The following is an 18544-nucleotide window of genomic DNA, read 5'->3' on the forward strand; positions in this document are numbered from 1 at the left end:
AATGCACAGAAGTGATCCAAGACTGCACAGAAACTTTATATAGTGGACATTCTACTCACTCACAACTGAGAATCTGAGTGCAGGTATAAGGTAGATGATGTCTGCCTATCCTTTTCAGCTTTATCAATGTCAGGTCTGCCAAAAAGAACATTTCTACGCTAGGGTCAAACTTGGATTTCAATTTCAGCTCCACACTATTAGCTACATGACCTTGGCTAAGTTTCAGTCTGAGTCTCAGTTTCCTCACCTATTAAACAGAAATTCTGTACCTTATAGATGGCTAGACTTATAATTAAATAAGACAGCATCCATATAACACTGACTAGCAATATGAGTGATAGAGTAAGCCCCGAACTCAATCAGATTCTAAATGACTAAGGACCAAAACTATGGCTAATTTCCATGTTTTGGAAGATGGTGGTAACCTGATTTTATTTTTCTCTCCACCACTTGTAGAGGGACCAAATAATAAATGGATATTCATAAAAATGTACCTCTTTACATAATGCAATTCTGATAGATGAAATGATGTCAGGAATTGCTTCCAAATAATCCAGGGTAGGGAGAAAAAGGAGGGGAAATAAATGAAATAGTTTGTCAAGAACTGATATCTGCCGAAGGTAGGGGCTGACAATCTAAAGTTTCATTATATAATTCTCTTCAAACATATTTCGAATTTTTCAAATTAAAAAGGAAAAAGCTGATCACTCATTTGAGGCTTCTATAATAATTATGCTTCGACTGTCGTTAAGTTAATAATGTACAAATTCAGTTTCTACGATAAGTCACCTTCTACGCTGCGAGTTATCAACCATTTTCCCAGCACTACAACATGCACCACACATGTTCTTCAGGCGTCTTTCTGCAAAGATGAGTCAGACAGGCTGCCTGGAGTTACACTCCACTTGCTCTCACCCCACCCCACCATTCCACTGTGGCTGAGAACTGCTGATCTAATTTAAAGTAATCTGGGCTGGGTGCAGTGGCTCACGGGTGTAATCCCAGCACTTTGGGAGGCCGAAGCAGGCAGATCACCTGAAGTCAGGAATTTGAGACCAGCCTGGCCAACATGGCGAAACCCCATCTCTACTAAAAATACAAAAAAATTAGCTGAGCATGGTGGTGTGTGCCTGTAGTCCCAGCTACTTGGGAGGCTGAGGCATGAAGATCGCTTGAAACTGGGAGGCGGAGGTTGCACTGAGTGGGAAGTGCCACTACACTCCAGCCTGTGTGACAGAGTAAGACTCCGTCTCAAAAAATAATAATAACAATAAAAATGCATAAAGTAATCTGAGTATTTCAACCATCTTATAACTGTAATATACATTGAAAAATAAAGTTTCCTGAGTAAGAAAACAAATTAAAATTGGATGAAGGTCAGCTTGACACACAGCCTCTAGATGGGTTGTATTTTAATACATGGTTTATTTTCATCACCTTGTGGGAGTCAAGTTCGATGAAGGAAGTTTTGCGTCTTCTGTAGGTCACTGAAAGGGAAGTACACCCAAAAACGTCAAGTTATAACTAGCGTTATTTTTGTTTGTTTGTTTTTGTTTTTTGAGACGGAGTCTAGCTCAGTTGCTCAGGCTGGAGTGCAGTGGCGCCATCTTGGCTCACTGCAAGCTCCGCCTCTGGGGTTCACGCCATTCTCCTGCCTCAGCCTCCCGAGTAGCTGGGACTACAGGCGCCCGCCACCACGCCCGGCTAATTTTTTTGTATTTTTAGTAGAGACGGGGTTTCACCGTATTAGCCAGGATGGTCTCGATCTCCTGACCTCGTGATCCACCCGTCTCGGCCTCCCAAAGTGCTGGGATTACAGGCGTGAGCCACCGCACCCGGCCTATACCTAGGGTTTCTAAAGGAAGCTTAGGGAACGGCCAAGAGCCAGATGGACAGAGAAAAGAGCTGCCTCCTCGCTACTTTAAAAGAGGAGACCTGCTCCTCTTCCCAGATATAACTCAAGCATCAATCATCTCACTGGTAAGGCTTCCGTGACACTCAGGTGAGCGGGCTGCCTTCTCCTGGGTCCCACTTTCATCACAGTAAAACACAGAGCCTGCTAGACAATAAGCTCTCTGAAGACAGCATGAGTCTATGGTGTGAATTGCCAATGCCTGGAGATGTCTGACACATGGTAGCCACACAGAAAATATCTGATAAATGATTATATGTCCCCTAAATACCTACTCTTGTTTAAAATACTCCACGAAGAAATCATTGTTAGGGCTGGGCGTGGTGGCTCACGCTTGTAATATGAGCACTTTGGGAGGCCAAGGATGGTGGATCACTTGAGGCCAGGAGTTCGAGACCAGCCTGGCCAACATTGTAAATCCCTGTCTCTACTAAAAATGCAAAAGTTATCAAGGTGTGGTGGTATGTGCCTGCAATCCCAGCTACTTGTGAAGCTGAGGCATGAGAACTGCTTGAACCTGGGAGGTGGAGGTTGCAGTGAGCTGAGAGATCATGCCACTGCATTCCAGTCTGGGTGACAAAGCAAGGCTCTGTCTCAAAAAAAAAAAAAAAGAAAAAAGAAAAAAAAAATCATTGCTAGAACCAGTCTCTTTAGTTTCTCAGAGAACATACTTAGAATCTCAGTGATTCATTTAATACTGAGTGATCCTAAATTGGAAGTTCATAATGCTATGAAGGTCTCTGATTGGCTTATGTACTCAGATACCATTATTATGTCGATATCAGGCAGTAAGTTATGACAGAGTTGTATATACTTCTGAATTTCCAGGACTAATGGGTCCATGAAAGTTTATTCAGTAAAGAATAGACAAATACTCTTACGCTTCAATATAATCTTCATGTTTGACTAATGAAGAAAGCAGGCACATTTTAGATTTTTTTTTAAAAAAGTCATTAACAGGAGGAGTGTCACATTGAGTTCCTATAGTAATTTTTCTTAACCAGTGGACCTCAAACCCCGAAGTCCTCACAGATCTTTTAAACCAGGATTCCTAAGAAGGCAAAAGTTTTGTCATCAACTAACTTCTCTCCTACTCATTTAGAGGGTATTTGCTACGTATGACTATCTCCTTGGGAGAACTGAGGAAATCCTCACTTAACTGGTTCTCCGCTGGACTTGATTTTCTCATGAACTCCGATTGGGAAAAGCTGCTTAGACCATCTGTCACAGGGTGTCTGGGACCCCCACTATTCACCCTCAAATCTTTTCAGTCAGTAACTACTGAAAGATAGTCAATGAGTTTTTAAAAACATGTCAACAGGGGGATCACATGTTTAGAAAGACTGGCAACAACTGCCCCTAAGTAAAGTGTTATATTAAACGACCAAGTACACAAATTACTTGTTTTTAATTTAAAACTTCACTTATAAGAAGCACTGGCAAAGGAAGGTGTTGTAGACAGAGCACAGGTGTAGGTTTAAATACCAATGTTGTCACTGTCCATAGACAAGCTACTTCTCTGACATTTAGTTTCTTCATTATAAAATATAAATAATACTCATATTATTGGATAACACAAATAACCGATTGCATAGGATCCAGTATGTGTGTGACGGATACCAGCTTCACAGAAGAAGAAGAAGAAAAAAACCCAAAAACAAGGTAGTCTATAGGCACACTGGTTCCTCCTTACCTATAGAGCCAGTAGATTTTAACCATTTGTTTTAGCTCAATTCAAGTATCAGAATTTCATCATTCATTCAAATACCTACTGCACCATCAAGAACAAGACATGGTGCTGTGAGCCCTCTAACAAGGAAGATCTTTTTCCTTTGATAATTACTGGGTAACTGTTGCGGGAAATCAGGGACCCGGAACAGAGGGACTGGCTGAAGCCATAGCAGAAGAACATAAATTGTGAAGATTTCATGGACATTTATTACTTCCCCAAATTAATACTTTTATAATTTCTTATGCCTGTCTTTACTGCAGTCTCTGAACATAAATTGTGAAGATTTCATGGACATTTATCACTTCCCCAATCAATACTTTTATAATTTCTTATGCCTGTCTTACTTTAATCTCTTAATCCTGTCATCTTCGTAAGCTGAGGATGTATGTCACTTCGGGATTCTGTGATGATTGTGTTAACTGTACAAAATGTTTGTAAAACATGTATTTGAACAGTATGAAATCAGTGCACCCTGAAAAAGAACAGAATAACAGCGATTTTCAGGGAACAAGGAAAGATAACCATAAGGTCTGACTGCCTGTGGGGTCAGGCAGAATAGAGCCATATTTTTCTTCTTGCAGAAAGCGAGTAGGAGAAATATTGCTGAATTCTTTTCCCAGCAAGGAACAACCCTGGGGAAGGAATGCATTCCTGGGGGTAGGTATATAGATGGCCACTCTGGGAATGTCTGTCTTATGCCGTTGAGATAAGGACTGAAATACGCCCTGGTTTCCTGCAGTACCCTCAGGCTTACTAGCATTGGGAAATTCCAGCCTGGTAAATTCTAATCAGACTGGTTCTCTGCTCTCGAACCCTATTTCCTGTTAAGATGTTTATCAAGACAATGTGTGCACAGTGGGACACAGACCCTCATCAGTAATTCTAATTTTGCCTTTGCCTTGTGATCTTTTATTGCCCTTTGAAGCATGTGATCTTTGTGACTTACTCCCTGTTCGTACACCCCCTCCCCTTTTAGAATCCCTAATAAAAACTTGCTGGTTTTGCAGCTCAGGTGGGTATCACAGAACCTGCCGATATGTGATGTCAACCCCGGCGGCCCAGCTGTAAAATTCTTCTCTTTGTGCTCTTTCTCTTTATTTCTCAGACCAGCCGACACTTAGGAAAAATAGAAAAGAACCTACATTGAAATATTGGGGGCTGGTTCCCCCGATAGGTGACTGCTATTCAGCAGATGCCATTCTAAGCACTTTAAATGTATTAACTCATTTAGTCTTCACAGTGGCCCTAGGACAGTAGTCCCAGTTTGTAAAGGAGGAAACTGAAGGACATTGAACAAATGAACAAATTGTAAATGCTCGGAAAACTCACAATACTTGTGATAGGGAGTTATCTACCTACCTTTTTAAAGCTAGCTTTTCCAAACTATCCTTGTCTCTCCTAAGGAAGCATTCTCTCTTCCCTTGTTTGTCCTATCTCTGCAACATCTGATTCAGTATGTATTTACATTGGACACGTGAGCCACTTTAAATCTTTTTACCTTTGTTTATTCCCATTTCTCCTGTTAACACAACACTGTTTCTTTGTCTTGGAAAAGGTACTTTTTAAAAGTCCATGAAACACATGCAATTCATCAAGAAGGAAAATGCTTTATTAAGTCACTCTATTTTTCTTATCTGGCCTTAGCATTTTATAACATATCAAATATCACAATTTTGTAAAAGACAGAGAGAAAGCGTGCCTCTTTTCTCTCTGTTCTGGGAAAAATACTAGGCTATGAACCTAGATGACTTGGTTTTTTGTCTGCTTCTGCAACAGTGTTCACTTGGACTGGTCACATAACTCGAGATTTTAATATTCCCATATGTAAAATGTGGAAATTTGCCTTAGATGATCTTTAAAGGTCCTTCTAAGTCTATAATTTTATGACTTGTAAATAAGGCTTTAGAGGTGGAGTTAATGACACTGACATCTGAGTTGGAGGTTCATTATGACACATGTACAAAGCAAAGAGGAATGAGGCCATTCCATCCTTTGCTTCTTCTAAGATATTTAAATACAATGCATTAGCAACTGAGAGATAAAACCTAGAGCAGTATCAACTGGCTACCTTACTGAAACAGTGACAGGTTTTTCCAATGGCAACAGAAATTCATAACTAGGTAAGGAGTGTTGGGAGACAATTCCCCACTCTCTCATGTTTTGCACATCTTAAAAGCAGAGGCATTAGCAGCCTTGTGCTCCGGGCTATCTCTGCGTGGATGCTTGTAGAGTGAACAGACTTGGAAGACAGAGATGGTGTCTCTCTCTAGAGCAGAGAGTAGTTTACTATCAAATACATTAAAGATGTCTCCCTTCAAAGCAAAGGTTGGGCAGGTGTGCTTGAAGGCTATCATAAAAGACTGGGGATTCCCAAGCTCTGGGTTCCGCTCCTGTATTGCAACCCACTGCACTTACAGGTGTCACCTGGCCCTTGTCATGTTGCCCTGTGGGTATGGGAACCACACAAGAAATGAATATTCTGGCTCCTACTACTGCTGCGAGTAATAATTTATGATAAAAAATATAAAAAAAGGACAATAACAAACTGTCCTTTGTCCTTGACCCAGGAGTCTTGGGTGTCCTACCAGAATCTACAAAACTGTAGCAGGTAAACTTGTTAGCTTGAAAGTAGGTAAAAATCTTACAACCTTCATAAAAATAAACAGGAATGGAGGCTTAATAATTCATGGCTAAGAGGACAAAGTTGAACCACACCAAGTTACCTCTGTAACATGATGGTGACATTCAATAAAGCTCTATGGAAGTTATTTTAAAGTTTAATTTGCTGTGTGGCAATTTTGTCCACAAAGGTCTTTACTTATAAGAAATAAACAATCTGATAAACATATGACATGTTTCTTTAAAGCTGACATTTTGAATGTGCCAGCAGTCTAAACTGAAATTAAACCAATTATGAAGTTTTCTTGTGTCCCATCAAGTCTGCCAAGACACCCTGTTGTACAATACTAGCAATTTTTTGAATAGGTAACCATTTTCTACTGGAAACTTATAAATTTTCAGAGAGGAGCTGTCTAAATGTTCTCAATGTAACTCCTTAAGAAAGGACTAAACTAAAAAAGCAAACCAAGCCAGATTTCCCTGAAAAACTTAGCTGCCTTCAAAGTACCACTGGCTGTAGGAAATACAGGAAGCCAGATTTTCAAGACAAACATTCCTCCTTCCTTTCCTGGTTACTGCTATGCCAAGATCAAACAAGGATCAGCAAAGACCAAAGGAATGAAGAAACTGGAACCTTTTTATTGCCTGGGCATTGGGCAAGAGCAAGCTAATTCTATCTTTTAAAAAATGAAATCATATACATTTAAGAGAAGTATTTATACTGCAAGCCATTGCTCAGATCTCCTACCAATCTACAATAAAACAATTATTAAAAACTTCTATCTATGTTCAGTGAGATCTTCATTTTCTTTGTTAGAAAAATATTTGGGGAATATAGGCAATTCAAAAATCCATTGGGCAGGGAATCAGAATCTTGCAATATTAGCAGAGACCAATACATTCTTTTGTAGAGATGTTATCCAGATTTATTTTTAGATTCAAAATATCTCAAAAATGTTATAATACTATAATAGAGAAAATAGAGATGCAAGACTTTACAAGCCATCATTAACTCTTACACCACTCAAATGAAGTAGGTATGATATCTCATTCAAGAGATGAAAAATAAGTTAAATAACTCAGCAAGGTTTTGGAAACAGAACTGAACCATTCATTACAATTCTTACCATCAGATAATTCCTTCCCTAAAGAAATAATTTCCTGACTACAGTGCTAACAATAATATGAGGTTGAAATAAAATCGAAGTTTAAAAAAAAAAACCAACTATAACACTTAATTTCTAGATACAACAAATGGCATTCGTCTGCAATAAAAACATATCTTAAAGAGGACTTCAGCAGTGGTAGGCATTCATAAGTATTAAATTAAAAATAAAGTTTAATATCAAGGATTAGATATAAAAAATATTATTGTCTCAGGCTAAAAGACACACAGTTCTTATCACTCTTTTCCAGGATAATTTCCACATACCATGTATTGTAATACCTGAACACATCCATACCTGTCTCAAACATGTCAGTTCTAAAAAAGTGGAAAAGACCTTCCTGTCTTTGCTACTATAACTTTAGGTACTTAGATAGATTGGGAGGCAGGTGGAATCAGGGCTAGGGGAAAGCAAACTGAATGACCACCAAGGGCACGGCTACCTTAGATTGTAGAGAACTGTCTGTTCCAGATCAATCCCAGGAGTTTGGATCCATGGTCCCATGGTGAGCGAGTCACTCTCAGAAAGAGTATTCTGCCATTCTTGGAGTGAGCCAGGCTTTTGATCTGGACAAACCTGGGATAGCCACTTACCAGCTGTGAAGAGTCAATACCCTCGACTGTCTAAACCTCCAGACTTCAACTAGCCTTAAATGTAACACAAGAGAGATAAGTGGTGAGACACTGAGGATGGCAGGTATAAATTTATCATTAAATGGACTTTTTAAAAAATAAGGCAATATTTCTAAAATTATCATAATCATATATTATGTTATTACATATTTGAATTGTGCATGTGTGTGTGTGTAATATAAATTCATCCCAACAAATAGGTCAATTTGCTTATTAATATTCCCTTTCATGTTTGAGAAAAAAACCCATGAAAACTTAATTCAGTGGGAACAGAAGTGAGGAAGCCTGTTGGGGTAAGTTACTATTAAAGAATTATTTAAATGAAGGCTGGGGGCAAATTGTCTTTCTTTCTTTAATTCCATGAGCCTGAATGGTCTAAAAGATCTTATTTGCCCAAAATAGAGGAGCTGACCACGTAGTTCAACAACCAACTTCTGTTTTGTAGTCTTCAAAAAAATGCTGGGTGATTAAAATATGTGTCATCATGAGTGCAGGGCAGGAAAAGGCAACTCATATAAAATGCCAGCTTGAGACTACTACACGGAAGTTGCACAACCATACACTTAAAATCTGAAGTGTATATACTCACTCCTGATGGCTGTGAGAAAAAGTGAAAGCATAAGTCATGGATTTGAGAATTTTAAAGTTCTTAAATTGCATGATTAAATTTTATCAGAAATAACTGTATTGCTCTCATAAAATTGTTTTAATTAAAACCTAATCTATACTTTGTATTACTTTATTCTCAAGAGGTGTGAAAACCCAGAAAGCTTTCAATAGAGTCTGGCACTGTCTAAAGCATCTTATGGACACCAGATCATCAACTTCACTAGTTTCAAGCGGCAGCAGACATCTGCAAAATATAGCCAGATGCTAATCAACTTGCATGAAGTCTCAGAATAGTGGGTGCCAGAACTAAGTTTAAATTCCAGATGCCAGCCCATCTTCTAAGAATCAGTCACTAACTATTTATTAAAAGTCTATTGTGTGCCTAGAGAGAGCAACTCTCTGTAAAGTAATGCAAAGAAATATAAAATAAGTCTTTTATCTCCAGTAATTATTACTCTGCTTAAGCAACAGGACTTGCAACTCCAGGCCAGGCCAGTATGTTGTAAGTACCTACACTGGACAGGTAAGACTTGGAAGTTCTATCTTTCCCACACCTACTTCTGAAAGAAGCCAGGTAACCATATCCAGATCTTCTAACATGTAGCTTTCTCCTTTCCTGGGTCTTTCCTTCCTGTTCTAGCCCCAGTAACTAGCCCCTAGGCCAGAAACTGACAGTGATCCATGGGCTGCTACGAAGAGATGAAGAGGGCCAAATGGGTTCTTTCTCTTTGTAATCTGAAGAATGGGGAATATGAAACAACTATGTTAGCAGCAGCTTGGTCCAAACAAAAGGCCTAGGAGCTGAACTGGGGAGACCTCAGCAAGTTGAAGAAGCCACTGCAGGTTCAAGATAAAAGACATGGAATAAAGGGGTGGGAAGCTGGTTGAAAAAGAAAAACCTACAGAAAAAAAGAGGTGACACAAAGAACTGCCTCAACTTTTTTCTAGTTCCAGACCACATTTATCTAGATTCAGCGATATAGCTGTGAAAGAGCAAGGAACTGTAATGATTCAGTAAAGCAGAAGCAGTGGGTATATGGCAAATGGCAATTGAAGACGAAGGGCAAAGGGCAGGGCCCAGACTATGTCACTTTAAGAAAGGGATCCTCAGCCTTGACACTACTGCCATTCTGCGTTGGGTAATGCTTTCTTGTGGGGTCTGTAGTGTGCATTGTAGAATGTTTAGCAACATCTCTGGCCTCTACCCACTAGATGTCAGTAGCAACCTCTTTCCCACTTCTGGCAATAACAATAAAATCTCCACGTATTGTCAAATGTCCCCTGGGGGGCAAAATCACAGTGAAGAGCACAGGTCAGATTTTTAACCTGATAGCAATAGGAAGCCATTTAATATTTTTAAGCAAAAGAAGCAATGAGATTTGCTTTTCCAGTGAATACAGCAGTGTGCAGGGGTGAGTAGGGAGGCAAAAAGACCCAGTCAGACTACTGGCATAGTGTGGGTGAAGACGACACACATGTGAACCAAGACAGCAGCCATGGAGAAAGAGAAGAGCATATACATGCAAATTACAATGGCAGTTAGGTACAACTTCAGGGTCCAGTAAGATAGAATTTGAGAGAAAGGGAGAAAAGTTACAGAACTGGCTTGGCAATTTAGGTGACTGTGGTGAGGGCCATTACCTAGGACAGGGGATTTAAAAGGAAGAGTAGGTTTGAAAACGAGTTCAGTTTTAAACATAATGAAAGTCTGAAGTAAGCATGAGATACCCAGGTGGTGAACCTAGTGGGGTTGGTGCTCAGCCAGCTAATGCTTACTCAGGGCAAATTATGTGCGAGGCCGTTACAAATGTCAACGCACTTCATCCTCACCATAATCCTTTGAGATAGCAGCTGCTGCCGCTCCCGTCTTACAGATGGGAAACTGCTGCATAGAGAAGGTAAAGAACATCATCACCAAGATTCCATAGGTAGTAAAGTTCTGGAGCTGAGATCTCAAACCCTGGCAGTCTGGCTTCAGAGGCTATGTGCTTATCCTCTACATTGTACTGTCTGCCAGTACAGTGAAGGAGAAAGATCTAGATTATGAATTTAGATTTGGGTGGTGTTATAGTCAGTTCTCACGCTGCTATAAAGAACTGCCCGAGGCTTGCACAGTGGCTCACACCTGTAATCCCAGCACTTTGGGAGGCTAAGGTGGGCAGATCACTTGAGGCCAGGAGTTCAAGACCAGCTTTGCCAACATGTTGAAACCCCATCTCTAGTAAAAATACAAAAATTAGCCAGGCATGGTGGCATGCACCTACCTGTAATCCCAGCTACTTGGGAGGCTGAGGCAGGAGAGTTGCTTGAACCTGGGAGGTGGAGGTTGCAGTAAGCTGAGATTGTGCCACTGCACTCCAGCCTGGCCAACAGAGTGAGACTTGCCTCAAAAAAAAAAAAAAAAAAAAAAAAAAGAACTGCCTGAGACTGGGTAATTTATAAAGTTAAGAGGTTTCATTGACTCACAGTCCAGCACAGCTGGGGAGGCCTCGGGAAACTTACATCATGGTGGAAGGTGAAGGAGAAGCACGGCACCTTCTTCACAAAGTGGCAGGGAGAAGAGTGGCACAGCCAAGGGAGAAGAGCCCCTTGTAAAACCATCAGGTCTTTTGAGACTCACTATCATGAATGAGAACAGCATGAGGGAAACTGCCCCCATGATTTAATTACTTCCACCTGTTCTCTCCCTTCACATGTGGGGATTATGAGGATTACAATTCAAGATGAGATTTTGGGTGGGGACACAAAGCCTAACCATTATCAGGTGATTTTCAGTATACAAATGACAGTAGATAAAGTCATAGACATATATGTGATCTCCCAGAGAAAATGTGTAAAGACAGAAGAAAACAAGACAGAATGAGATACTAGAGAAAACTACCTGTTAATCAAAGGGTGAAGGAGAAGCCAGAGGAAACAGCCAGTGGAGGGACATGAGAGACAATAAGGGACAGTCTTAAGGGCTGGAAGTAAATGGTATCTTTCTAATCTAAAGCAATGCCTTGCATATAATCTACTCTTTATAAATGTCTTGAAATTCAATAACCTCATAATCCCAAATAAAGAACGCAGCAAATATGCACACTTATGGCATATCCAAAAGACTTACAAAGTTAAGCAAAACTCAAATTAGATCTGTGATTCTCCTAGAACACCAAGAGTCTGTAGAAGGCACATGGTCATTAAGTATGAGCAACAGCCTAGGTACTGTAAGGAATCATTCCTTACATTTATGTCCAGCTAAGGAGGCTTTTCAAAGATTTATCCACATCCTTTCATAGCAATGTAACATGTTATCTGTTTTGCATTTTGTTGAAGATCATGTGAAATACTGACTCTTCTAAGTTTTGCAACTGACAAATATAAAATTGTGTAGTCTCTTTCTAAAAGAGGATTTAGGAATCATGTATATGAAAACTGCTTACTTCTCACTTGAAGTGGTTACTAGAGCATCTGGTGAATTCTGAGTTGTACTGCTGTAATAACCCTTCTGGGTATCTAAACAGTTTTTGTCATGCATCCCTTATCATACTTTACATTTCTATACCCTAAACACAAATATTTAGTAGGAAATGAGTTTCCTCAAAGTACAAAAAAGCTGGCCCCCATTTCCAGCTCAAGACAAATATTTTCTCAGGAAATACATAATGATTTCCAGGCCAAAACTCAAAAGTGTTTTCTAAACTTTAATGTGGATACAAATCATCTGGGGATCTTGTTAGAAAGAAGACTCTGATCCAGTAGGTCAAAAGCCACACCTACACTCCGCACTTCCAACAAGCTCCCTCCTGCATGACACGATGCTCTGGTCCGCACCGGCTACTCAAATGTGGTCCTTGAACAAGAAAAGTGCTGGCAGCATGTGGGAGCTGGGTAGAACTACACTTCCCTCAGTGCGACAAACAGACCATGATACTATCATCTGCTCAAACAGGTGACTCAAGAAATTTACCTTAAATTCTTTTCTTCAAAATCCACTTAAAAACTCATTCAATCACACTTTCTTTTTTGTTGTTATTAAGAAAAGACCTTCTTTTCTCTCCATTCCTTTCGATTATTCTAAACTGTGAGTCCAACCCTTAAGCCCCTCCACAGTAATAGCCCCAGCTGTTTCTTTCAGGCCTCTCACCTGTGATCCCCATAGAGGTCCACAGCATGCCAGTTCCATGAAACTGGTTATTTTCTACATATAAATCATGCTCTCTCACCATAGTCCCTCTCTTGTTTTGCTTTGGTTTGTTGTAGTTGATGATTGCTGTATCAGGCCAGTTTCTCTTATCTATCATGTCATCTTTCTGTAGCCACCCTGCTTAATCTTTCAATGAGAAGCCTTCTTGCCATTCTTGGAACCAGCCATTCACCCCCTCCATAGCAATTTTTCTTTCATTGTAATATTAAGATATAATAATATATATTTCATATAACATTCTGCTGTATAAAAGATCCTTGTATCATATATATATATATATATATATATATATATATATATATATATATACACACATAGATGGGTCCTGGTCTTATTCCTGCTACTGAAATGCAAGCTGCTTGAGGTCAGGAAACTTTATTATTTATTTTGATACTTCTTGCATTGCTTAACATAGTTCGTTATTCATATTATGCTAACTAACAATCTATTAAAATGAAGTAAAGCACTACTCATTATTGATGATAAACAATCTAAATGCTCTCAAATCACAAATCTAAACTATGTTTCTTATTTCTTCAAATATGATTGGTTTATTTTCTACTTTTGCCATCACAGATTAAAACTTGGACACAGTGTTTTTATATGCATTTTTCCCAACTAAAAAATTGTTTGCATCTCAAAAACATTTAATCGTGCTAAATGTATTTTATCAGAACTTAAATTATCAACCAGCTAATTTGGCATTTTCATATCAAACAAGCTAAATGTTCATTTATCATTTGAGAAAAGTTAATTGTGTAATGAAATCTTCATGAAACCATTATAAAACTGCACATAAACAGAAAAACAGCCTACAAAGCAGCACAGAAATCATTAACTCTGTTATGGTGAAATAAAGCATGGTGACAAAGGTTAACTCCTGGAAACTAAAGGCTCTTCAGAATACCTGAAAAACTCCAAGGTAGGAGGAGACTGCTATGTTTATTTTAAATCGTGAAGTTCACATTATTCCAATGTCAGTCAACTAGATGATCTCTCAAGTACAAACCCAAAAAACAATCTAATAGAATGTATTAAGACCAGACATAAATTAAATAGTGAGTCAATGCAAAATATCCTGTACTAAATTCTGAAGATAAACAGACAACTTAATTTTGAGTAAGTTAAAAATGAGCCCAGGTCAATCAATGGCTAACCAATGAAGAGAATGTGAGATCAGCATTTAAAAGTGATACGGAGTTGTTATCACCACCAATGACTGCTAAACAAAACTGAATGGTCAAAACCACATGCCCAGACTGAGGCAGGAGGATCCCTTGAGCCCAGGAGTTTGAGCTTTCAGTGAGCTGTGGTTGCTCCACTGCACTCCAGCCTGGTTGACAGAGTGAAACCCTGTCTTTAAAAAAACAAGAAAAGCCTGGGCGCAGTGGCTCATGCCTGTAATCCCAGCACTTTGGGAGGCAAGGTGGGCGGATCATGAGGTTAGGAGTTTGAGACCAACCTGACCAACATGGTGAAACCCTGTCTCTACTAAAAATACAAAAATTAGCCAGGCGTGGTGGCGTGTGCCTGTAATTCCAGTTACCCAGGAGGCTGAGGCAGGAGAATCACTTGAACCCAGGAGGTGGAGGTTGCAGCGAGCCAAGATCACACCACTGCACTCCAGCCTGGGTGACAGAGTGAGACTCTGTCTCAAAAAAAAAAAAAAAAGAAGAAGAGAAACCCTGCATTGCCCCAAAAGTAAGAATTAAAGGAAACAATATGACTTCACTGGGGTTCTATTTGAGACCTACTTGGACAACACTGAACATCCTACAGGAAGTCAAAAAAGTACCCCCATATGCTAAAAAGCCCTGCAATGATATTCACTTATGACTGGTTAGTTAGCTTTCCTATCCTTCAAAGTCATGTCTTTACAGGGTGAAACCCCATCTCTACTAAAAATACAAAAAAAAATTAGCCGGGTGTGGTGGCGGGCACCTGTAGTCCCAGCTACTCGGGAGGCTGAGGCAGGAGAATGACGTGAACCCAGGAGGTGGAGCTTGCAGTGAGCTGAGATCGCACCACGGCACTCCATCCTGGGTGACAGAGCGAGACTCCATCTCAAAAAAAAAAAAAAAAAAAAAGTCATGTCTTTGGCAATGGGTGGGGAAGAGACAAGGGTTTCTGGCAGACAGAATAATGGCTCCCTCAAAAATGTCCATGTCCTAATCCCCTGGACTTATGAATGTTACCTTACATGGCAAAAGCGACCTTGTGATTATGATTCTGACTTTGAGATGGAAGATAATCCTGGATCAGGAAGGGTCCAGGAAATCACAAGAGTCCTCAACATGGAAGAGGGAACCACAAGAGGAGGTCAGAGTGATGAGGTATGAGAAGGACTCAACAATCTACTGTTGCTGGCTTTGATAACAGAGGAAGGGGCCATGAGCCAAGGAATGCAGGCAGCCTCCAACACCTAGAAGAGGCATGGAAACAGATTCTCCTTTACAGCCTCCAGACAGAAATGCAGCTCTGTTTCAATTTTAGCCTAGTGAGACCCACAGTGGACTTCTAAACTAGAGAATTTTAAAATGACCAGTTTGCGCTTTCAGCCACTAATTTTTGGTAATTTGTTATGGCAACAATAGGAAACTAATACACGGGTGAACTGCTATAAAAATTCTCTAAAACGCACACAGATAAATCCTTAAAAGTGTAGTGTGATGCTCTATAAAATGCGCATCAAATACATTCATATTTAATTTGCATTACTAAGAAATATACCTGCTCCTCTAAAAAACTAACATTACACTTAAAATTACATTTTATAAAAAGATTGAATGTAAATACAATTAACTTTGATCAAAAAGTTAGGTTAGAAAACAAAATGGAACGAGCTATTTTCAACCAAACAAGAAGGTGATAAAAATTAAGTAGGAAAATTTGATAGTCCTCACAGGTAACATTTAAAAAGGAACCACCATAGTATCCATCTTAATAGCTCAGCCAGAGGCAAATCAGTATTTCTTTTAAAGTTCATATTTACCTGATGATCCTCTGGGCAGCATACTGATGGAGAGAACGAAACTGTGCCGACATATTTGCTAAAGCTGCCAAACAATTTGTGTGAAGGTACTTGTCCTGTGAGGAAACAGCGGGTGTAAAACATACAATCAAGTCTTCTCTATATTTTAACCAAGGTTAACTATTAATAGAAGCAAATGTAAACTCAGTTGTCACTGATTTTAGAAAGTTCAGATCCACTATCTCTTTTTTCTAATTCCTAAATCCATAAAGCACTGAAAATTCAAAGTTTTTTCCACAACACAAAAAATGATGATGTTCCTGACAGTCTTCATTATTCCCTCCATGGTGAATATTGAAATATTTTGCTACAGAAATATAACGTTTAATTACAGCATGCTACTTAAGGCCCTAATGGTTACACATAGTAGAGTATATAAACTATAATTATCTTTCTAAAATCCAAAAACTTCTGCTTTCTAAAACATAGCTGGCTCCTAGGGTTTCAGATAAAAAACATGAATGTGTATCTGCAATAGCCCCACGGAGGAAAATAACTGAAAATGGGCTGGGAGTAGGGGCTCACGCCTGTAATCCCAACACTTTGGGAGGCCAAAGTGGGAGGATCACTTCAGGACAAGAGTTCAAAACCAATTCAAGACCAGCCTGGGCAACATAGCGAGACTTTGGCTATTTAAAAAAAAAAAAAAATTAGTCAGGTGTAGTGGCACATGCCTGTGGTCCTAGCTGCTCAGGAGACTGAGGCAAGAGGATCACTTAAGCCCAGGGGTTGGAGGTTACAGTGAGCTATGATTGTGCCACTGCACTCCTGTGCAGCCTAGGCTGAAGGGCAGTGGCACAATCGTAGCTCAAAAAAAAAAAAATGCCATTTCTCTTAGCTATGAATTCTGTACACTGCTTCTCTTTAATAATACATTTCTATTAACCAGAACTGAAATTTGCTCCCAGGTACTGTGAAGAGAATCCAGCAGAAATTTTTCTTTTACTCTTTAAAATATTCTCTCTTCTACCTTTCTTTTTCATTTTAATTCATATTTTCTTGTGCTCATATCCTCTTGTACTTTGTTATTTGCTGCTATTAAAAAAGGCAAATCAGTGTTACTGGCCAAATAAAGACATACAATAGCTTTTATCTAAATGTTTTGCATTGCTTGTTTTCTATTTCATGTAAAATATCTCCAATCATACAAGCCATTAAATATTAAGACCTTATGTTACATTAGGATCATGTAATACAGTGACTATACAGTGACCGGTATTTTCTACCATATGTCACGAGAATTTTAGCATCCTAAAAATTGGGATTGCTTTAAACTATCGTCTTAATTGTACTGTATGCAAAAAAGATAGAATAGCAGCTGGAATACTTACTCGTGTCCTAGTCATGTTGTATTGAATGGTTCTTATTACCACCAGGATCAGGAGACTCCCCAAGGAGATTTCAGTTAAAACTCGTTCTGAATACCAAGTAATATTTTTTAGTATCTGTAATGGGGAAGAAAAGTTTAAGTAAAAAATGATTGCTTTACAGACAAAAGAATTACTCCATGTCCACAATTTTTGATAAACGATGACTTTGCTCTGAAGGTGAGTTAAGCAGCACAGACAGAGGCCACGCAAATGAGTCCAGATCTTCAAGGAGAGATGCTCCAGTGCTCTGCCATGGCTGTGGAGAGTAGGCAGCTCTGGCGCACACCTCCGGGCCTAAGTAAGCAAGAACTGTTTTCTAAGTTAAGACATTTCCACTGTAGATTTGTAACCTAGGGATCATAGACACACACACACACACACACACACACACACACACACACACAGAGACACACACACACACAGAGAGAGAGAGAGAGAGAGAGAGAGAGAGAGAGAGAGAGAGAGAGATAGGCAGGCAGGCCGGCAGACAGGTGCGAATACTGGGCAGCATAGCAGCCAAATCTGGGCTGCCCCAAAGAAAGAGGTAAAATGGGGGAAAAAACAAAAAAAAAAACAAACCAACAGGCTCAGCCGAGCACTAGAACTCCCTAATGTTCTCTTTCGTTAAGGTTACTCCTGCAACCTTTCTCCGTGACTCAAGGAGAGTCACTGTGCCACATTATTCTCTACCTATGCATGAAAAAGGAAGAGACTGCTGGGCTGATTCTTGCCCTCTCTCTTAAGAAGAGGCACACATCCACAGAGTACAGCAGACTCCCCACCACTCACAAATGCAGAGGGGGGAACCCACCACCTTGCAAAACAAGTTAGTTAGACTTGTGTTTATAACTACAGATGAATAACAAAACCACCAAGTGAAGACATTCAACCTAAGAAAGTGATAATGCTGAACCAAATCAAGACTCTCTTCTAATTACCAGTGCACATGAAATACAGAGGACAGAACACGTTAAATACCGTGATGATACATAATCAGCTAAAGACAAATTCGGGGAATCCTACTAAACAGATAACCCAGTTTCTTCAACAAATAAGGGGTAAAATAAGCTGGGATAGGGAGAGAGTGCTATAGATTTGTGAGTCTTAAGAACTAAATGCAGTAGACGTTGGAATCTGATTCAAACAAATCAACTCTAGAAGATATTTTAAAGATAACTGGAAATAATAAATTGTTAGGAAGAATTTAAACATTATTGTTGATTTTATTGAATGTACTAATGGTATGATATATTTTTTAAAGTCCATACTCACTGAAAGAACACA

At 39.4% G+C, this 18544-nt stretch overlaps 1 protein-coding gene across 41 annotated transcripts in view, besides 1 other annotated feature; it reads right to left on the minus strand.

The window, feature by feature from the left end:
• The window catches only part of DYM (dymeclin), a 424259-nt gene that overhangs the window by 204772 nt on the left and 200943 nt on the right, over positions 1-18544 (minus strand). For 40 of the 41 annotated variants that reach the window (NM_001374439.1, XM_047437559.1, XM_047437553.1 and 37 more), the window contains 2 exons: positions 17222-17335; positions 15852-15946 (listed from right to left, as the gene is read on the minus strand). In NM_001374439.1, coding sequence (NP_001361368.1) covers positions 15852-15946; positions 17222-17335 — 209 coding nt within the window. Of the gene's footprint in view, positions 1-7166; positions 8077-15851; positions 15947-17221; positions 17336-18544 lie in introns of those variants that run through there. The other variant, XM_006722492.5, reaches the window with a different exon arrangement.
• Positions 9791-9970: an enhancer, noted in NCBI's record as "active region_13308". NCBI's record gives its function as "activates an Ori minimal core promoter by ATAC-STARR-seq in GM12878 lymphoblastoid cells {active_cell/tissue: GM12878}" and the evidence as "EXISTENCE:reporter gene assay evidence [ECO:0000049][PMID:35858748]".

This window comes from Homo sapiens, chromosome 18 (genome assembly GCF_000001405.40).
Source record: "Homo sapiens chromosome 18, GRCh38.p14 Primary Assembly".
NCBI lineage: Eukaryota > Metazoa > Chordata > Mammalia > Primates > Hominidae > Homo > Homo sapiens.